Source organism: Homo sapiens, chromosome 22, assembly GCF_000001405.40.
Source record: "Homo sapiens chromosome 22, GRCh38.p14 Primary Assembly".
Lineage (NCBI taxonomy): Eukaryota > Metazoa > Chordata > Mammalia > Primates > Hominidae > Homo > Homo sapiens.
Genome location: NC_000022.11, coordinates 35,792,773 through 35,816,089, shown reverse-complemented (window position 1 = coordinate 35,816,089; position 23,317 = coordinate 35,792,773). Strand labels below are relative to the sequence as shown.

At 38.0% G+C, this 23,317-nt stretch overlaps 1 protein-coding gene across 57 annotated transcripts in view; it reads left to right on the top strand.

The window, feature by feature from the left end:
* The window catches only part of RBFOX2 (RNA binding fox-1 homolog 2), a 290,089-nt gene that overhangs the window by 212,735 nt on the left and 54,037 nt on the right, over nucleotides 1-23,317 (top strand). For all 57 annotated transcript variants that reach the window (NM_001394108.1, NM_001394111.1, NM_001394110.1 and 54 more), the window contains one exon: nucleotides 6,086-6,310. In NM_001394108.1, coding sequence (NP_001381037.1) covers nucleotides 6,086-6,310 — 225 coding nt within the window. The remainder of the gene's footprint in view (nucleotides 1-6,085; nucleotides 6,311-23,317) is intronic.

The following is a 23,317-nucleotide window of genomic DNA, read 5'->3' as shown; positions in this document are numbered from 1 at the left end:
CAGAGTTAATTTTTTTAAAAAAACGGATCCTAGATGATTTTAAATCCAGTGTTGTCTTCTTATCTTTCTGAGAGAACAGTTATATAGCTGTTATTTTCCTCTTGTCACAGACAGCTGGGCAGAAGCCACTGCTTTTAGTACCAGATCTGAGAATGACAGGCCTTTGCCTAGGTACTCTTTTTTTTTAAACAAAGGCAAATAGAGTTTGAAATCTGAGCCCATCTAAGCAAATCCCAAGGGATCAAAATGATATAATTTGTAAAAATACTTAAAAGTAAAAACATTTTATTTGTATTATAATCCTAGAAAATTAATTTCCATTTATAAATAGCACTAGAAAAACTATTAGTGACATTGTCAGTGGTAATAAACTGGTGAGAATATGCTCTACCAAAATAATGAAGTGATTCTTTTATGATGGTGTGAATAAAATTAATATTGATCTGTTTGTGTGCATGATCCATTCTGACCATATATGTGGTATGGGAATTGAGAAGCTTTTAGGATTTGCAGCCTGTTGATTAGAAGCAATACAATAGCAGTTTATGTATATAAGTGGGACTCAAGGTGACCAAACTGAGAAAATTAGAATGAAGTTGAGGAATAAATGAGAAGATATAAACAAAAATACACCCTTCTCTCTCAAAGATTACATAGACTTTAGTTATCCTAGAAATATGAAGACAATTATATTTTGGGTCATTTCTGTGTTCTCTTACAGTACTGTGCATAGGTTTTAAATAATATTCAGAATAATTCAGTAGGAACAGAAAATATGCTAAAGAATCAGTAACAAAACAGTTTCACCTGCTCTCTCAATTAATTTTCACACCCACCTCTGAAGTAAACAACCCATCTGGTAAGTGGTATAATTGGAATTTAAACTCAAGTCTGACTTTTAGGTTCATGCTTTCTTCTGTTTTACTACATTCCATGTAAACTGGGGAGAAGGCACATGGTTGGACCTAGAAAAAACACTGAAAGTCACCTGTCGGTAGGTGATGATTGAACCTCTGAGATTGCTGTGGGTAAGGCAATAGACTGTTGAATGGGTTCCTGTTTGACGACTGTAATACTATAGTTGTCTGTCCATAGCCACGGGTTCTGCATCTGTGGATTCAAGTAGCTGCGGATTGAAAAATTAGGGTGGGAAATTGGATGACTGTGTCTGTACTAAACATGTACAGACATTGTTTCTTTTTAGGAGACAGGGTCTCCCATTGCCCAGGTTGGTCTCAAACTCCTGAGCTCAAGAGATCCTCCCTCCTTGGCCTCCCAAAGCATTAGGATTACAGCTGTGAGCCACTGGCCTGACCAGACTCTTTTTTCTTGACACTTTTTTCTTTTCTTTTCTTTTTTTTTTTTTTTTTTTTTTTTTTGAGACAGGGTTCCACTCTGTCGCCCAGGCTGGAATGCAGTGCCATAATCATAGCTCGCCACAGCCTCTATCTCCCAAGCTCAAGTGATCCTCTTGTCTCAGCCTCCTGAGCAACTGGGACTACAGGCACATGCTACCATGCCCAGCTAATTTTTAAAAATTTTTTGTGGAGACAGGATCCCACTATGTTGCCTAGGTTGGTCTCAAACTCCTGGGCTCAAGTGATCCTCCCTCCTCAGCCTCCCAAAGATCTGGAATTACAGGCATGAGCCACCATGCAGGGCCTTGTCATTATTTTCTAAACACTACAGCATAACAACTATTTACATAACATTTACATTGTACTAGGTATTATAAGTAATATAGAGATGATTTAAAGTACACAAGAGGATGTGTGTAAGTAGGTTATATGCAAATACTATGCCATTTTATATAAAGGGCTTGAGTATCCAAGGATTTTGGCATCTGTGGTGGGCGGGGGCTGGGAGGTTCCTGGAACCAATTACCTGCAGATATGAAGGGACAACTGTATGTTTGAATTCAGAATGAAAACATTTAGCATATTTCACATTGTACACCAAAAGGCTGTATATAATATGTATCGCCTCTGTTACTATCTGTGGTTTAAAAGAGAAAGACATCATTCTCAACTCAGAAATTAATAGTTACATTTGATTTTCACTCACAGCTGGTCAACAACTCTTAAAGCCTGTGTTTGTAAGACAGAAGGAAATTAAGTGCATAAAGCACAAGCATGTAAATGTTGATTCTTTGCTTTCCTAATGCTTCCCCACTTCTACTTTCCCATCCCTGCACTCCAGTTTGATATCAACCCAAGATACCAACACTTGTTTCACTCTGTGTTATCCCTTGTTATGCTCTCTAGCCCAACAAAGCAGTTTGCTGTAATGTGCACACACCTGACTTTCTATCTCAGTCTTCCTCTATTTCATAAATGTTTAACACTTCATATTTATTATGTACGATGTGGGATTCTACATTGTACAGGACTGTCTCCACCCATCATAATGAGCCTTTTAATCTAATAGGGGAGTTAAAATACATATTTACGTTTGCTAAGTATGAGGCTTTAGATTTCAATGTCTTATAGGGGATGCAAGCTAAATGTTATAAGAATATAGGAAAGGAAGGAATTACTTTTAACTGGAAACAGAAGAAAGTTTATAAATTGCTAGGTTAGGGAAAAGAGCTATTCTGTCTAGCCTTGTGGACTAAAGAGAAAGCTAGTAATTTCTTTTCTCAGATGAGATATACTTAAGCAGCTTAGCCTCTGGTAATAGAAACAAAACATTTTTATATAAGTATAGAGGTAAATTCATACCTAGAAATACTCATGTGAACTGTTATCTCATAGTTTGCTGAAGGCTGTTGTACTTCTCTTCTGAGCATAGAACTTTGGAATATGGCCTGGAAATTTAATACAAATCTGAAACCATTTGACATTTTTAATAATGTATACTTGGGGAAATATTCAGACATTGCATGCTATATGAGAGAAAATGTTAAATCACTCCTATCCCAATTTCATTCCCTTAATATATAAACAATTGTTGTTACATTTTTAACAAAAATTTTAAAAGAAATTTCTGTAAGTAACAAAATAATCCACTAAGAATTTCTTCTTGACCTCTTAAGGGAGGTACATAACCCCTCTAGGAAAACAGAGCCTCTGCCTGGCTTGCATTTCTGTAAAACGCCTAGTGCCTAGGCTACAAGTGGATTGCAGGAAATGTTTTTACCTTTCTCCCCATCTCCCACTGCTAATTGATGTGTTTATTCAGTTATCTGAGTCAGCCCTGTTGAGAATAACGCTGTGAGAGAATTCATACTGTGTACTTGTGTGCCAGAGTCTCATTCCCAGCAGGCTGGGGTGGAGAATGGAGGCTGGAGTAAAACGAGGAGGCTGAAAGGAGCAGTGTCAGAGCAGGAGAAAGTCGCCTTGGCCTTGTTAATCCTAACTTGAAAACTCTATCTTTTAGCTTTTACCAATTATTTAGTAGAACTTTCTTATGGATTCCTGTGAGATTATATTTATGCCTGATGTGGGCATAAGACCTTTGGTGCTCTTATTGTGTTTCATTCACCAGTCCACCTGAATTCCAATTCAATTCTTTTTCATGTCTGTCTTCAGGCCAGTAGATTCAGCGAGGGCTTCTGAAGCAGTATGTTTCATATGGCTAGAGAGAGACAGAGAGATAGAGCATTGAATAATTTGAAGGGGAAGGGAGATAACTATTTTATATCTCTCGTCAGATGCCCAGAATAGCTATAAAGACATCATAAAAACTATCCTAACCTAGAAATAACGTAAAGAAGTTATATGGTGATGGGTGACGAAGATAGACTTTTTCCAAAAAAATTTAAAGTTTTCATAACATATTTTCTAAGAACTAAAGAGAGGGGTTTTTTTTTTTTTCTATCTTTTGAGATGGAGTCTCACTCACTCTGTTGCCCGGGCTAGAGTTTAATGGCAGCGATGTCAGTTCACTGCAATGTCCTCCTCCTGAGTTCAAGCGATTCTCCTGCCTCAGCTTCCAAGATATCTGAGATTAAAGGCATTTGGCACCATGCTTGGCTAATTTTTGTATTTTTAATAGGGATGGAGTTTCACCATGTTGGCCAGGCTGGTATTGAACTCCTGACCTCAAGTGATCTGCCCGCCTCAGCCTCACAAGGTGCTGGGATTACAGAAGTGAGCCACCACACCCAGCCTTTTTTTTTTTTTTTTTTCCCTTAAGAGACGTGGTCTTTCTGTTGCCCAGGCTAGGGTGATGCAATCATGGCTCACTGCAGCCTCCAGCTCCTGGGCTCAAGCAGTCCTCCTTTCTCAGCCTCACAAGTAGCTGGGACTACACATACCACCATGCCCAGCTAATTTTTTAAAGTTTTTCTAGAGACAGGGTCTCTTTGTGTTGGCCAGGCTGATCTTGAACTCCTAGCCGCAGGCAGTCCTCCCATCTCAGCCTCCCAAAGTGCTGGGATTACAAGGGCATGAACCATTATGTCCAATAGCAGGAAAATTTTTATGTAAAGCAATTTATTTTTATTTTTATTATTAATTTCTGTTACAGAATCTTCATTCCTGCCTTTACCAGTTTGCAAGGGCTGCCATAAGAAAGTATTACATAACAATATAGCAATGTATTTTCTTACCATTCTGGAGGCTAGAAGTGCAAGATCAGGGTGTCAGCAGGGTTGGTTTCTTCTGATGTCTTTTTTGTTGGCTTGTAGATGGTCATGCTCTGTGTCTTCACATGGGCCTCCCTCTGTATGTGTCTGTATCCACATTCCCTTTTCTTATAAGGACACCACTCCAATTGGATTAAGGCCCACCCTCATGACATCACTTTAATTACCTTTTTAAAGACCTTATCTTTAAAAACAGTGACATTTTGAGGTACTGAGGGTTAGAACTTCAACATACGGGTTGGAGACTGAGCACAACTCAGTCTATGACTCTGCCCCTTCCCACTGATAACTGTAATCAGTTCATCACTTTTTATCTAGACTGTGGCAGCCCCCCACCCCCAATTCTCTGCCTTTTTTCTTTCACCACTATTGTGTAAAGCAGTTTTTATTACCAAGTAGAAATGATTCTTGGACATTGGAGACAGCTGAATTTTGAAGTTGTTTAACTTTTAAATGGAAGAGAGTTATGAATTTTTGTTTCAAGGTAGGTCACTACCATTCTCTTAAGAGTAACACAGTAATTCAGTGTTTCAGAATATTGGCTTCCCCTTATTGATGATATATTTTTTGTCATTCTCTTTAGTATTAAAAACAATATATTTGTATAGGTTTTATTACAAAAGTAATATATGTTTATTATTGGGGCACAAGGAAACTTTTGGGGGTTTTGGATATATGTGTTGACTATCTTGATTGTGGTGATGATTTCATGAGAATATAAGTGCATATATCAAAACTTACCAAATTGTATACTGTAAATAAATAAGTGCTGTTTATCATATGACAGTTATATCATAATAAAACTGCTTAATTTTTTTGCTGATTTGATGACTAAAGACTTGGACTTACTTTGATGTTAATGTGAATTTTCGTGACAGTTAGTGAGGTTGAGCATTTTTATTAGTTGTTTGTATTTCATTTTCAATGAATTGTTCAGATACACAGTTTGCCTGTTTTTCTCTTGGGATGTGTGTGTGTTTGTGTGTACATGTGTGTCTGTCTTGTCAACTTGGTTAACCCACTCTGGGACTAGTGATAATAACCCAGCATCTCTCTTACCTTTTGCTAATATTTTCTCCTAGTTGATTTTTCTTTTTTGTTTTTCGTATTTTTTAGGGACAGAGTCTCTCTCTGTGGTATAGGCTGTAGTGGCTTGTGGTCCAAAGTGGGCTCTCCACCTACTTTTAATTTAAAGGAAAGATTTTTGCCCCTTTGGCATCTAGTCCACTTAAATATGGTTGTGGGCCTGTCTAGTAACTACACATTAACAAAAGTGAGTGTGTGTGTGTGTGTGTGTGTGTGTGTGTGTGTGTCTGTCCACATACATATATCTATGTGTGTATGTGTAATAATATTTTCTCCAATCCTGGAGCAATAAGCATTCCATTTTACCTATGCAGTGAGAGAATATTCAGAGAATTCCATATACTCACTTTAAAAATAGTTACGTAACAAGGATTCAAAGTCACTTTTTCTTTCTCTTGTTGTTTGTTTTAGGGTAACCAGGAGCCGACAACAACTCCTGACGCAATGGTTCAGCCTTTTACTACCATCCCATTTCCACCACCTCCGCAGAATGGAATTCCCACAGAGTATGGGGTGCCACACACTCAAGACTATGCCGGCCAGACCGGTGAGCATAACCTGACACTCTACGGAAGTACGCAAGCCCACGGGGAGCAGAGCAGCAACTCACCCAGCACACAAAATGGATCTCTTACGGTACGTGGACCATGAGGTGAAAAATGGAAGGATGCATGGCAATCATATAGAAATTGTCGCCTTAATTATACAATTAGAAGACTCTCGGAATTAATTTAGCATTTACACCTGTTCTCATTTACACCTTCTCTCAACAGCATTGTATACATTGTCCTCCCTCCTCCTAGAAATACTTAGTCTCTTGGCTTTTCGAGCTCTCCCAATTTTCCTGCCAAGCACTGGGTGTTCTGCTCCTGCCTCCTTCTCTGTTCAACTTTTAAATGGTGCAGTACTCCATATGTAGGTCCTGGAACCCCTTTTCTTTTTATTTTATATCCTTTCTCTGCATAATTATACTACCAAACTCAAGCAAAACCTAGGAATATTCTTTCTTTCTTTCTTTCATCTGTACATCTAATTGATTAGCAAGTCTTGACAACCATAACTCTAAAACTACTTCGTCTTCTTCTCTACATCTTATTACTCTTCCACCAAATTGCTTGTGTTTGAATCTCAATATGGCCCCTACTAAACTGTGTGACCTTGGACCAGTTATTTAATCTCTCTGCCCTTGGCTCACTCTAAAATGAAGATAATAGTACCTACCTGAAGAGGCTGTTAGGAAATTTAAAAGAATTTATCATCATCACTGCTCTAGTCCAAACCTCATCACTTATTTCCGGTATTACTGTTGCCTAACTTATCTATCCTCCACATAGGACTAAGGTGGTTTTTTTTTTTTTTTAATGCAAATGCCGATTTCCTACTTAACTCTTAATAGTTCCCTAATGCAATTAGAATATAATCTGAACTCCGTACTTGGTTTACTAGTCTCTAGCCCCAGCTTACCTCTTTGACTTCACCTCTTACTACTAACTTGCTAAAGTAAAGGAAATGTCATAAATTAATAATAGGTATATATCTCATACATACCAACATATGGGAAATTGTATTGTCTCTTGCTTTGTTGTCCAGGCTGGAGTGCAGTGGCATGAACATAGCTAGCTCACTGCAACCTCAGTCTCCTGGGCTCAAGTGATCCTCCTGCCTCAGCCTCCCATCTAGCTGGGACTACAAGCACACACCCCACGCCCAGCTCATTTTTTAATTTTTTTTGTAGAGACAGGGTCTCCTTTTGTTGTTGTCCAAGCTTATTTTGAACTCCTGTCACTCTATCCTCCTACCATGGTCTCCCAAAGTGCTGGGATTAGAGGCATGAGCCACCATGCCCAGCCTTGTGTGGTCTATTTCTAAAGATAGAAATGTTCTACAGTCTGCATAGAAAGACCTAGCTCTGTCGTTAGATTTCTTTTTCTCTTTCCTATATCTGGTTATGAAAAGGAGAGCTTTACTCAGCCTTTAAGCCACTTGCTAAGGATGGATTTAACCCATAAATGCTTTCAATTTTCTTTCATCAAGTATTGAACCACCAAGAAATTCCTACTTTCGATGTTTATTAGTTATGTATAAGCACATAATTTTATACTTCAGAAATAATTGGCTACAATAGATAATTTAAGAGTCTAGGCTTGATAGGTAACAAACGAGACTTTCAGTAGCATTTGTTCTAGAATCATAAACGTACAGGCTGATGTATTGACTGCATTTCCAAATAACTTTTTAATGATCATGAACTCACAGACCTATCAGAATAACTGTTTCAATTAAAGAAGTGAAAAAGAAGAAATAAAATATATGTGAGGATTTTCCAAGGTGTTTTAATTAATAAATTTCTATACTAATTATCAGGGTTTTTTTTTCATTTTTATTCTCTGTTTCTTGTTAGTTTGGGTAATTTGTGTCTTTTTAGCAATTTGCTTCATATAAATTGTCAATTTTGTTGGTATAAAGTTATTCATAATTTCATATAATCGTTTTAATTTTTGTAGGGTCTGTGGTGATATCCCTGTTTATATTCTTGATTTGGCAATTTGTGTCTTCTCTCTTTTTTTATTGGTCAGTCTAGCTAAGGTTTATTAATTTTGCAGATTTTTCCAGGAAACCAACTTTTTTTTTCATTGATTTTTGTTGTTTTTCTATTTTATTTTTCATTAGTTTCCACTCTGTTATTATTTCTTTCTTCTACTTGCTTTGGGTTTGATTTGGTCTTTATTTTGCCAGCCTCTTGAGTTGCAAGCTTAGGTGATTGATTTTAGATTTTCTTCCTTTTTGTGTTTAAAACTGTAAACACAGAAAGTTTCCCTTTAGCTGCATACCGTAAAATATGATCTATATTGTTTTTATTTTTTTTTCGTTCGAGACATTTTAAAAATTTTTCCTGTGGTTTCTTCTTTGCTCCTGGGTTGCATAGGAGTATGTTGTTTCCTTTCCAAATGTTTGGGGATTTCCCCCAAATTTCTTTCTTTTATTGATTTATAATTTAATTTCTTTGGCGCTTCACATGATCTCAATTTTTTTTAATTTATTGAGACTTGTTTTATGGTTTACTAGACAGTCTTTCCAACAAAATATTCTTAACCAATTGGTTTTTTCATCAATATGAAATGTCCCTCTTTGTCTCTTTTACTATTTCTTGGCTTATAGTTAACCAAGAAATAGTAAAACTATTTGTCTGATATTAATGTAATCACTTCAGCCTTCTCATAGTTACTGTTTACATATTTTTTTCTGTCATTTTGTTTCAACTGCTTTGTATCTGAAGTATATCTCTTATTTAACAAAATTTAAAAAAGAAAGGGCCAGGTGGGGTGGCTCACGCCTGTAATCCCAACACTTTGGGAGGCCGAGGCAGCTGGATCATCTGAGGTCAGGAGTTTCAGACCAGCCTGACCAACATGGTGAAACCCTGTCCTTACTAAAAATACAAAAATTAGCCGGGCGTGGTGGTGTGCGCCTGTAATCCCAGCTACTCAGAGGCTGAGGTAGGAGAATCGCTTGAACTGGGGAGGCGGAGGTTGCAGTGAACTGAGATCATGCCACTGCACTCCAGCCTGGCCCACAGAGTGAGACTCCGTCCCCCACTCCCCGAAAAAAGTGCACAGCTAGATCCTGCTTCTTGCTTCTTCATCCAGTCTGAAAATTTCTGTCTTTTTATTGGAGCATTTGGTCAATTTGCATCTTAATGTAATTATTAATGTAGGTAGATTTATGTCTGTCATTTTACTGTCTCATGCCTTTTATTGTTCCTTTGTTCCTTCTTTACTGATTCCTGTTAAATAATTTTTGTACCTTTTACATCCATTTGTGATATTTTTTCTTTAGTTATTTTTTGTTTGTGCTGGTGTTTCTTGTATTTTCTTAGTGCTTTCTCAAGGAATTACATCTTTGACTTATCACAACTTATTACTAATGGTTGTGTGTGTGCACATGCATGTGTGTCTTATTCTGGTTAAATATAGCAGCTTAGGTCTAATATAGCTTCATTCCCCACGCGCCTTTGTGCTATTGTCATACATATTATACCTGTATATTTTAGATATATAACAATACACTATTATAATTATTACTTTAAACAATCTTACGTTGTTTTTTTTTTTAAGATCTCCTTTTTTAGAGCAGTTTTAGGTTCACAGTAAACTGAGAAGATAGTACAGACTTATCCCATATACTTTCTGTTCCCACACATGCATGGCCTCCCCCACTAACAACATTGCACACCAGAGTGGTACACCTGTTACCATTGATGAACCTGTATTGATACATCTTTATCACCTAAAGTCTGTTAGAGTTTACTCTTACTGGTGTACGTTCTGTGGGTTTGGATAAATGTATAGCATATAGCCAGCATTATAGCATCACAAAAAGTAATTTCACTGTCCTAAAAATCCTCTGTGGTCTGCTTGTTTATCCCTCTCTCCTCCCCACAACCCAACCCCTGGCAACCACTGATCTTTTAACTATCTGCATAGTTTTTCCTTTTTCAGGATTTCATGTAGTTGTAATCCCACAGTATGTAGCTTTTTTCTGATTGGCTTCTTTCACTTAGTAATATGCATTTAAGTTTCCTCTGTGTCTTTTCAAGTCCTAATAGTTCATTTCTTTTTCAGCACTGAATAATAACCCATTGGTCTGTATGTACCACAGTTTGTTTATCCATTGACCAATTTAAGGGCATCTTGGTTGCTTCCAGATTTTGGCAGTTATGAATAAAGCTACTGTAAACATTCATATGCAGGGTTTTTTGTGGACTTAGTTTTGAACTTCTTGGGGTAAATACCAAGGGCCATGATTGCTGGATCATATGATAAGAGTATGTTTAATTTTATAAGAAACCACCAAACTACATTCCAGAGTGGCTCTACCGTTTTGCATTTCCACCAGCAATGAATGAGAGTTCCTGCTGCTCCACATCCTCGCCAGCATTTGGTGTCTGGATTTTGGCCATTCTAATAGATATGTAGTTGTATCTCATTGTTGTTTTAGTTTGCATTTCCCTGATGACATATGACATGGAATATCCTTCCATGTGGTTATTTGCTATCTTTATATCTTATTTGGTGAGGTATCTGGTAAGGTCTTTGTCTTACTTTTTTTTTTTTTTTTTTTTTTTTGAGACGGAGTCTCGCTCTGTCGCCCAGGCTGGAGTGCAGTGGCGCGATCTCGGCTCACTGCAAGCTCCGCCTCCCGGGTTCACGCCATTCTCCTGCCTCAGCCTCCCGCATAGCTGGGACTACAGGTGCCCGCCACCACGCCCGGCTAATTTTTTGTGTTTTTTTTAGTAGAGACGGGGTTTCACTGTGTTAGCCAGGATGGTCTCGATCTCCTGACCTCGTGATCCGCCCGCCTCGGCCTCCCAAAGTGCTGGGATTACAGGCGTGAGCCACCGCGCCCAGCCTTTGTCTTACTTTTTAATCAGGTTGTTTGTTTTCTTATTATTAGATTTTAGAATTCTTTGTATATTTTGGATAACAGTCCGTTATCAGATAAGTCTTTTCCAAGTATTTTCTCCCAGTCTGTGGCTTTTTTCAGTTTCTTGACAGGATTCATTTTATTTTATTTTTTGACTATTTTTAGTGATCTTCATGTCTTCCTATAGGTCCAAGTTATTATGCAGTGTCATTTCCTTTCAGTCCAAAGGACTTCTTTTAGTATTTTTTTTTAGGCCTGCTGGAAACAAATACTGTTTTTGTTTATCTGGGAATGTTGTTTTTTTATGTGTTCAGTTTTGAATGATAGTTTTGTTAGCTATAGGATTCTTGGTTGACAGTTTCTTCCTCCACCCCCCAGCCCTTTAAATATGTCATCCCATGGACCACTCCCATGGGAGTCAGCTGATTGTGATGAGAAGTCAGCTGTTAACCCTGGTGTTGGTCCCCCTGTAGGTGATGAGTTGTTCTTCTCTTGCTGATTTCAAGATTTTCTGTTTGTCTTTGGCTTTGAGCCGTTTCTCTATGATGTGTCTAGGAGTGGATCTCTTTGTTTTTATCATACTTGGGTTCTCTTGAGATTTTGAAATATATATTCATCAAATTTGGGATGTTTTTCACCATAATTTCTTCAAATTTTTTTTTCCTTTCTTCTCTCTTCCTGGGCCTCTGATTACACATAATTTTCTTTTCCCCCGAGATGAAGTCTTGCTCTGTTGCCCAGGCTGGAGTGCAGTGGTGCAATCTCGGCTCAGTACAACCTCTGCCTCCCAGGTTCGACCAATTCTCCTGCCTCAGCCTCCCAAGTAGCTGGGATTATGGGCATGCACCACCATGCCCAGCTCATTTTTGTATTTTTAGTAGAGATGGGGTTTCACCATGTTGGCCAGGCTGGTCTCAAACACCTGACCTCATGATCTGCCTGCCTCGGCCTCCCAAAGTGCTGGGATTACAGGCATGAGCCACTGCGCCCAGCCAACACATAAATTAAAATACTTGGTGTTCTCCCATAGGGGTTTTTGTTTCTTAAAAAAATTCAGTCTGAACCTAAACAAAATCTGAAGTTCTATTCATTTTTCTTGGATCTTTTTTCCTTCTGTTCTTTAGATTGGATAATTTCTGGTGGTCTCTTTTTCAGTTCACTCCTTCTTTGTTCTGCCATCCCAAATCTGCTGTTGAGCCCATCTAGTGATTTTTTTTCTTTCAGTTATTATACTTTTCAACTCTGGAATTTCCATTTACATTTTTCTACTGAGATTTCTTCTCATATTTTTCTTTAATTTTTATTATTATTTTTTGAGATAGGGTCTCACTTTGTCACCCAGGCTGGAGTGCAGAGGTGTAATCACAGCTCACTGCAGCCTTGACCTGCTGGGCGCAAGTGATCTTCCTGCCTCAGCCTCCTGAGTAGCTGGTACTACAGGCACATGCAACCAAACCCAGCTAATTTTTGTATTTTTTTGTAGAGGCAGGGTCTCGCTATGTTACCCAGGCTAGTCTTGAACTCCTGGGCTCAAGGAGTTCTCTCGCCTCAGCTGCCTAACATGCTGGGATTACAGGTGTGAGACACCATGCCCAGCCTTAATTTTAAAAATATATTTGTATTTACTGCTTTAACGTTGTCTGCTAAATCCAACATCTGGGCCTTAGTCTGTTTCTAGTTACTGCTTATTTTCTTGAATCTGGGTCACTTTTCTGTTTCTTTGCATGCTTGTAATTTTTTAATGAAAATTGGACATTTTAGTAATGCATTGTAGTGACTGTGGGGTGTTATTTATTTTTCTGTGATGGGCATGTGTGTGTGTGTGTGTGTGTGTGTGTGTGTGTTTTAAGTAATTTGCCCATACTTAAACTATGACATGTGACTCCCACACAGTATACGGCCACTAGTGTTTCTGCTTATTGATTTTCATTTGTTGTTTTATTGTTTTTAGCCTGGCTAGGAGGCACCCGTGTCTTCCTAGCTTAATGGTTAGCCTGTGACTAGTGCAGAGGTGGTGTTCAAACACCTGAAGCTTATTGAGCTTTCACCCTCTGATGATCCAGGTTGATTGGGAAGTGCATGGAAAGTTCAGCCAGTTCTTAAGCCTGCCTTGGGTTTTCTTTCTGTTGAGACCTCTTATGTCTCCCTTCCTCATCCATGTAGTTTCACAGCCACCCAGGGATGTGAGGAGACCATATCTGGCCCTTTTGTGACTCTTTTCTTTCCAGGATCTCCCCTTCAGATTTCTAGCTGGTCTTCCACTGCACCCTCTTCAGACCACAGCCTCAAGCTAGAAGAATGTCTTCTCCCTGTTAGGTTCCCACCAGGTTGGCCCCTTTTAGCTGTCAGAGCTATGGATTTTCTACCACTCCTTCAATCTCCCCCTTGTCCCAAGTCAGATCTGCCCTCTCTGGCAGTGAAAATTGCTGGTTTTTATGGTCCCAGCCCTCACCTGATAAAACTAAGTTTTAAGGCATTAAGTTTGTGTCTGGATGCTCTTGCCCCTAAGTTTAAGCAATTTCTCAGGACATCTATTTATTGTCTGTCTGCCATTGATTGATTTCTAGAATCCTGAAATGGCTGTTTTTGACAACTTTGTCCAACTTTCTTACTGTCATTTCCTTTTGAGGAAACAGTTCACTGACCTGTTCATACCATCATAGCCAGAAGTCTCTTCCCTGAATCATTGCATGGCATTTTTAAATTACTTACTACATATCTCCTCATCATTGCCCATTTCTGTTTCTCTTTTTTCCTTTATTGCTACCATTTTCAGTTGTTTCAGATCTCCAGTTGTATATTTCTAATGACAGTGATTAAGGGCAAGTTCTGTTCCTTAATGTAAATATACATATATTTACATTATATATATAGTTAAGACTTGCATTCCTCATTTATACCAGAAACTGTTCACCATGAAATTTTGTATGTCAACCAATTTGAGTTCCTAAAGAGATAACCCATATGTATAGAGTATAAGTTTATCGCTGCCAAAAATAGATGAAGAGAAAATGGAAAATCCTTTGATTTGTGCCTGTGAACAGAGATAGCACAAGTTCTATAATTTCAGGAAGCTGTTAACAATAAAATGAGAAATTTTTAGGATGCTCTGGTTGAAAGATGCTTTTTTTTTAAGTGTACATTTTATTTTATTTGATCTTATTTTTGAGACCGAGTCTCACTGTGTCACCCAGGCTGGAGTGCAGTGGCGTGATCTCAGCTCACTGCAACCTCAGCCTCCCAGGTTCAAGCGATTCTCCTGCCTTAGCCTCCCGAGTAGCTAGGGTTACAGGTGTCTGCCACTATGCCCAGCTAATTTCTGTATTTTTAGTAGAGACGAGGTTTCACCATGTTGGCCAGGTTGGTCTCGAACTCCTGACCTCAAGTGATCCACCCACCTCAGCCTCCCAAAGTGCTGGGATTGCAGGTGTGAGTCACTCTGCCTGGCCCAAAAGTGTACATTTTAAATGTGAGGGTGAATTCACTGCTCATAAGCCATTTATTTACTTTTGGCGGGGGGAGGGAGAGAGAGAGAGAGAGAGAGTGTGTGTGTGTGTGTGTGTATGTGTTGTATATAGAGAGTTTGAACAGTTGAGCAATACATTGTAAAACCTAGATTTGACAATATTTAGGTTATTTTATTAAACTTACTATCTGCCTATATGTCTCTTAAAATGGTCTATCCAGTTTGATTACTCATCAATTAAAAACAATGGTCTAGTAATTCATGTGGCCAATTAAATCTAAAAGTTAGACAGGAAGCGTTGTTATTTACAGATTTATTAATGATACCTCAAATTTGTATCTCACTTTTCAGTTTAAAAATTGCTTTCACAAACAATATTTTATTATGGTTTATAAAATATCCCTTTGGGATATATTAGAGTTTTTACAGATGGGGAATTCTAAGTCCGTAATCTTCGTTCTACCACTCCGACTCCCCATATTCAACGTAGTGAAAGAAGATGGTGTACTGTGTATATTCACTAGTCCTCTTAGCAAGCACTTAGTATCTTTTCCCACTCAGTTTAAGTCTTATCTCTGCTGAAAAGCCTTCCTGGACTTTTCTAGGCAAAGCCAAATTCGTGTGTCCTTCATTTAGGCTCAAGTAGAACCGTAAGCTGACTGCTGTTTATGTAACATATAAATTGTGATTTTTAAATTGACTTTTGTCTTCCTAAGTTTTAAACTTTTAAAGAAAAAGTCATTTTTCATCTTTGCATTCCCTGACTTGTCACAGTGCCTGACACTTAATAGAACTCAGTAAATGCTTCTTGGGGGAAAAAAAAAAAACTAGGTACAATTGTATTATGGCAGTTCTGAGGAGAGAGAAGCTGAGGCGTCTTGGTGAATACAGCATTGATCTGGGCCTTGTATTAATGGTAATTAGAATTCGAGTAAGCATAGATGGTAGTGGGAAGAGTTAAGAACGTCAGTTCTCAATACAAAGTTGAAGTGATGAGAAGGATCAAAATGCCTCGGGATAAAAGCATAGGTTTCTACTTGATTGAAGCTTTAGGTGTTTGGCAGAGACTAGTGGGAAATAAGGTGGAATAAGTGTCAGTTGAGTATAAATTGGGAAGAGTATTTGAATGCCAGGCTGAGAAATATGGACTTTATTAAAGATTTTGAGCAAGTAAATGAAGTGAGCAGAATTGTGCTCGGAGAAGATTGATCTGTCACAGCGTATGCAGGGTGAATAGAGGAGCAGGCAGACGATTAGGAAACAGTCTTAAGTGGTTATGTAGAGGGGGAATGAATTCAGGAGACATTATGAAGGTAGAATATAGAGGATTTGACAGCTGGTTGGATGAGTAAGATAAGAGGTAGCACAAAGATTGTGCCATCCTTATTGTAATAATTGTCTTGAATAAATCATTTTACCTCCAATTTCAGTTTCCTCATCTATCAAATGAAGTTTATACTTGACCTGACTGTACAGGGTTGTAGTGAGAATAAATTAAGAAATGCTTTGGAAATTACTTGTTTAAATAGTTACCTAATTACCTTTTTTGGGGGGTGGGGGAAGGGGGTCTTTGAGGTAGGGTCTCACTCTGTCACCCAGGCTGGAGTGCAGTGGCATGGTCTCAGCTCATTGCAGCCTCTGCCTCCCAGGCTCAGATGGTCCTCCTGCCTCAGCCGCCACGAGTAGCTGGGACTACAGGCGTGTACCCCCACACCCGGCTAATTTTTTTTTTATTATTTGTAGAGACAGGGTCTCCCTGTGTCTTGCTCTGGCTGGTCTGGAACTACTGGGCTCAAGCAATTCTCCCACCTCAGCATCCCAGAGTGCTGGGATTACAGAAGTGAGCCACCACATCCAGCCGAAGTAATTATTTTTAACCATCATAAGTCTTTTAAGATCAGTTGTCCCTATTTGTACTGTTTGTTGCTGTGAGCTACAGCTCCATTTAAGTATATTTCGCTTATGTTGGATGGTCTTAGATTGTTGGAGAGAACAAAAAGAAAAGAACTTGTACAAAAATGAGAACTGAGCATTAAAATCTGAAATTTTTATTTTTAAAATGTGTTTTAGAAATCGATTTTAACCTTGGGCTAGAAGCTTCTGCTCTTAAGATGAGAGCTTATTTTGATAGTCAGTTGGTCCCATACTGTGCATTAGCAAAAGAGGTAAGCAGTTAGGGGTCTACCACCTGGGCCTGCAGACACTTGATCATCTCTGGGCCTGCCTGCAGAGAAAAAAGGACCTCAGTTCCTGTATCTTTAGATACTTTTCTAAATGGCAGTGGGTATAAATAACCAAAGAATTTGAAGTAGACAAGCTTTAGTGAATACTCTTCAGATATGATGTTTATATTTGTGTACATATTCTAACTACCTGTTGGATTGTATTATTCTTAAGGGTAGGAAATAATTCTCTCTCTGTTTCTGTCACCTCTATTGGTATATTATGGATACAAACACTTACTAGCAAGTGCTTTCTAGTGGTGGGGAAGGCTTATAGTTGTTCTAAAGGCGTATAGGTGGTCTAAGGTGTTAGACATACGCTATTAAAAATACTGAGTTAATACATCAGTTTAGGTAACAGAATTCATTTCTCCAACATTCTTCCGTATAATGTAAATACTTTTCTTTTTCTTAGTTTGATGTAATTAGAATCATTTACTTAGGAGACATAGCATGTTATTGAGTCTTTCACTTAAATATAAGGTTTTCCTAACTGGATAATTAGGAAAATAAAATACATTTATTTCCCCTTATACACTCTTCAAACATAATTTAGAGCTACCTTCTTTTAAATCAAAATATCAGTCCTTAAATAATTTTTTGAAATACATATATAGGGGCAATAACTACTTAATAGTAACAACAAAACTAATATATTTGAGTGCCTACTTTGTACCAGATATTGTTTGAAGCACTTTTTATGTGTTAACTCCATTGAGTTACCATAGCCGCCATGTGAAATAGGTATCGTTATTACTCCTCTTTTACAGATGAAGAAATTGAGGCTTAGAGAGATTCAAGATTACTTGTCCAAGATCACACAACTAATAAATGTCAGTGTGAGGATTTAAATACAGGTTATCTGGCCCCAAGAGCCTGCATTATTTCCCATAAATTATATTGAACAACTGTTTTATATATACTTGTCATGTGCACATTACTGTGCTAGGCACTAGGTGTTCTTAAAAAGGTAAAATAAAGCCCCTGCCCTCAATGAACCTATAGAAGTTCCAGTAGAAAAACAGTACAGGCCTGGTGCAGTGGCTCATGCCTGTAATCCCAGCACTTTGGGAGGCCGAGGCAGGTGGATCACCTGAGGCTGGGAGTTCAAGACCAGCCTAACCAACATGGTGAAACCCTGCCTCTACTAAAAATACAAAATTAGCCAGGCGTGGTGGTGCATGCCTGTAATCCCAGCTACTTGGGAGGCTGAGGCAGGAGAATCGCTTAAACTCGGGAGGCAGAGGTTGCAGTGAGTCAAAATCGTGCCATTGTACTCCAGCCTGGGCAACAAGAGGGAAACTCAGTCTCAAAAAAACAAGAAAAGAAAAACAAAGTACAGATAAGTGCTAGAAAGAGAGTAATGAAGCGGGTTCATTAAGAGATGCTTTTAGAAGGTAGGTACTACTTCTCCTAAACAGTGAACCCATAGCCTGCAGTGAAGTAGAGGACATTGCAGGCAGGGACAATCCTTTGCAGCAGTAATTTTCCCTGTGTGGTCCACAGATCACTGGCAGTTCCCTAAATTTTTTCAGAGTCTGGGTCGAGGGAGCTATGAAGTCAATGCAAGGTATTATTTTCATAGTAATACCAATACATTCTTGCTGTTTTCACTATATTTGCTTTGACGGTCAGTACAGAAGCAATGGTGGGTAAAACTGCTAGCACCTTAGCATGAATCAAGGCCGTGGCACCAAACTGTGCTGCTGGCAGCCATCATATTCTTCACTGTCACAGACTCACAGGAAAACAAAAAAATCACGTTCACTTAAGAATGTCCTTGATGAAGCAGTAAAAAGTATTAATTTTATTAATTTCCCACATTAGTATATGATATTTTTCATATTCTACATGGCAAAGTGAAAAGTATTCATAAAGCACTTGTGTTACATACCAAAATATTTTCATTGTTTCAAGGAAAAGTACTGTGTGATTGAGTTGCAAGCTGAACTAGCTGCTTTTTTCATGGAGCACCATTTTTTTCTTGTAAGAACAATTAATGGACAAACCATAATATTCAGTTTTATGCATCTGGCACTCAAATATATTAGTTTTGTTGTTACTATTAAGTAGTTATTGCCCCTATATATGTATTTCAAAAAATTATTTAAGGACTGATATTTTGATTTAAAAGAAGGTAGCTCTAAATTATGTTTGAAGAGTGTATAAGGGGAAATAAATGTATTTTATTTTCCTAATTATCCAGTTAGGAAAACCTTATATTTAAGTGAAAGACTCAATAACATGCTATGTCTCCTAAGTAAATGATTCTAATTACATCAAACTAAGAAAAAGAAAGAAAGTATTTACATTATACACCATTTTCTTGAAAATGAAGTGGGCCTGCCACTTCAAGGGAAGAAACTGACACTATTTTTTTCCATTGGTAAAATGTAAGCTCTCCTGGTAGAAATTAGAATTTTGAAAAATTTGTGTCCTCCACTATGAGCTCGACAGTTTCTCAGTACTTAAAGATTTTTTCTGATGAGATCCGTGATGATAGTAACAAATGTGGTCTTGTATAATGCAATGTCCTCACATTTGAAAGAGCTCCGTAACTCAGTAAGCCGATATTTTACAAATAATGACTGAGGTTTAATGTTACAAAATCATGAGTAAAAGATTCATGCAAAGTGCATGATTGTCCAGTGGATTTTAGTGTAATAACATATGAAAAGTTCACTGATAAGGTTTCAGATTCGACATTGCAGTTAACTTTTAAGAAAGTACCACTTGTCAAGTTTTGATGTATTATCAAAGAAGACTCCACAGTTTTCTGAGAAGGCTATTGAAATACTTTTCCCTTTTCTAGCTATCTGTGAGGCCAGATTTTTCTTTGTATACTTAAGTTAAAATAACATACTGTAATAGTAAATCCATACATTAAAAGGAGTGCCAGTCTTCTAAGTAAATTTATTACGTTTTGGAAAATGTAGTTAATTTTCTTTAAAATATGTTATTTACATTAACACATAATTGGCTTATTATTTAAAATTAATTTTTAAATACTTTAAAAATTTATCAGCTTCAATTTCTAATGCCATAAATAACAATGGATATTACCTAAAGAAACAAAAAGCTCTCTGAATCCTCAGTCATGTTTAAGAGTTAAAAGGGTTTCCCACATGGAGGTGGGGATGTAAATAGAAGATTCTTTTCTTTGTAGGCCAGGCACAGTGGATCATACCTGTAATCTCAGCACTTAGGGAGGCTGAGGTGGGAGGATCACTTGAGTCCAGGAGTTAGAGACTAGCCTGGGTAACAAGGCAAGACCCCATTGCTAAACATTAAAAAATAAAAATTAAGAAGTTTTTTTAAGTTGACAAGATTGTATGTATTTATACTGTTGTACAGCATGATGTTTTGCTTACAGTATCTTTAGTTGGAACAGAAGGCTCTCTTCTGAAGCAATAATGCTCAATAAGAGAGGCTGATAAAGCTAAATTATAGAGGACTTTGAATTCAAGGCCAAAGAATTTGGAATTTTATACTCTAAAGAGCTAAGCATCCTTTGAAATATTTGTTGGTGAGTTGAAAGTAGAGATTTGAGCAAATAGCTGAGTGGCCCACTTTATTACTATATTAGTCAGCTGTAGATTTTATAACCCTCCTCACTGGAAAGCCCCTGTTGACCATTATGCTCAGAGGATTTTTTTTTTTTTTTTTTTTTTTTTTGCTTTTCTACACACCCCTTCTCTGGAGTTTAAGCCAATTTTTCTTTCACTTCTCTATTATCAATTGGTATTGCCCATTGACTTCTTTATCTGATAACAGTTGAAGGTGCCTTGCAGATTAGTGATGCACTAAAACGTAGCCAAGAAGGTATAGCCCTTAACAGTGGGATCATTTGCCCAAATGAGTATTTCTAGAACATAATGGGAAGAAGGGGGGCCACAGTCTATCATACTATGTATTGTTGGGCTATATTACCTTCAGCCCACAGTGTAGGTGTCATTAGCATGTTCTGTTTCCAGGCTAGATGTAGAGGTCTTGGACTACGGAGGAATTTATTCATTCAGCCATCCACTTTTCCAAGAGTGGCTCTTATTTTTCCCTCAAAGTAATAAAAGGCAGGGTACATTGAGCCTACATAAAATATATATATCCTGTATCAATTTACCCTTAAAAATAATTACATCTGTCCTTTAGCTCCAAAATTTTGATGTCTATGAGTAGTTTGGCAGTTTCCAAGCTGGATCCATAAGGAAGCTATCACCTGGTTTGAGAATGTGAGAGTTGCCACAGAAAACCAAATTTAGAATTATGCATGGGTATTTTTGAATAGAGAAAATTGCCCTTTGGATCATATAAGACTCAAGACATCCTTTCAGCACATGTTAATATTGCTAACTCCATGACTGTTGCTTCTTCTCTTTGCATGCCTTGGTTTATTTACTTACCTACTTACTCCTAATGCCCAAGGGAAACTAAACTAAAAAATTGCTAGGCGCGTTAATGCTGTGCTCCGCTGCCCCTTACTGCTCTCACAGCTTAGGGCAAGGATGATGAAGTAGTAAGGATTATTTAGGGGCAATTTTTTTAACCTGTTTACATTTTTCATAAATACTTTATACTACCTCTTGAAAATGAGTAAACTCTGATCAGAACTGATGAAGTTTAAAGCTAAAAAACTTTTTTTTTTTTTTGAGACAGAGTCTTACTCTGTTACCCAGGCTGGAGTGCAGTGGCGTGATCTCGGCTCACTGTAAGTTCCGCCTCCCGGGTTCACGCCATTCTCTTGCCTCAGCCTCCTGAGTAGCTGGGACCACAGGTGCCCACCACCACGCCTGGCTAATTTTTTGTATTTTTAGTAGAGACTGGGTTTCACCATGTTAGCCAGGATGGTCCCGATCTCCTGACCTTGTGATCCACCTGCCTCAGCCTCCCAAAGTGCTGGGATTACAGGTGTGAGCCACCGCGCACGGCCTAAAAAGCATTTTTAAAAGCATCTTCTTTTACAGCTGAGGTCAGTGGTGTTAAGTGATTTGAGCAAGTTACAGCTAGCTGGTTACAGAGCTGGGCCTTAGGAAGTCTGCTGTCAGTCAAGTGCTTTTTTCCTGCTTCTCCATGCAAATGGTGATTTAAAAAAAAAAAGACATCCATAGAGAGTCTTAACCATCTTAGCTTCTACTTACTCTTCAACTTTTAACCTAGGACTCTAGCTTGAGCATACTAACAAATTTCTTTCATTCTAAATGAACGTTAAAATAATCACTCAGGTATAAAGTTTTAAAAAATTGAGGTGATATTCTGTGTGCATGTCACTATTTATATGTTACATATAATTTTATACAATTCTTACTCCTGTTTAAAAAAATGACTTGCTGTGGTTTTTGTTTCACAGCGTGACACTGATAATCAGTACATGATCATGTTACATATACAAATGATGCCTTTCATAATTCCTTTTTGTGGCACTTTGACACTCTGAGAAAATGGAATCACATATTTTCAGAAGAAATGGAATTACTCGTTTATTAAAAAAAGTTAGCTTACATTTGAATGCCCAAACAGGATTAGACTCTCAGAATTCAGCTTGTCATAACAGTGTTCAAATGCACAGAAGAAATGTTTAAGCATTTCTCTTTAAAATAAATCTAAAAGTAATTATTCTTAAATAGGGAGTTGCTCTAAGTAAATGTAAATTCACTTTTCTGTGTCTAAAAAATTGTTTTGGTGGTGATATTTGATAAAATAATTTTATATTCAATTGATTATAATTGTCTTATATATTATTTTAGCACCATGAAGTACATTGATTTTTCAGTAGCTAAGCATGTGGGCTAAGATTTTACTTTTTTGAAAAATATTTTATCATGTTATTGCGTTTGTACTCTGTGAGAAGGAATGCATATGATCTAATTCCACCAAGTTTTAACCCATCAGGAACTCCATCGTAAACATTTTTATTCATTGATTTATTTATTTTTGAGACAGAGTTTCATTCTTGTTGCCCATGCTAGAGTGTGATGGCGTGGTTTCAGCTCACTGCAATCTCTGCCCCCCGGGTTCAAGCGATTCTCCTGCCTCAGCCTCCAAGTAGCTGGAATTACAGGCGCCTGCCACCACACCTGGCTAATTTCTTTCTATTTTTAGTAGAGATGGGGTTTCACCACGTTGGCCAGGCTGGTCTCGAACTCCTGACCTCAGGTGATCCACCCGCCTTGGCCTCCCAAAGTGCTGGGATTACAGGCGTGAGCCATTGCACCCGGCCCCATTAGAAACATTTTCAAAATGCTTAGCTAGGCATGGTGGCATGCACCTGTAATCCCAGCAACCTGGGAAGCTTAGGCCTGTAAATCTCTTGAGCCCAGGAGTTTGAGACCAGCCTGGGCAACATTGGGAGACCCTGTCTCCAAGAAAATTAAAACAAAAGTACTTTAAGTGCTAACAAATCTGGTTGATGTTCTAACATGGATTGTAGTTCTTGTTTTTTGAGATACTATGCAATGGCATAATGAAAAGTATCCTGGCCAACTTTGTAAAATATTGTAAGGAAAAACTGAAAATTTTAAAGTGTTTTTATTTTTT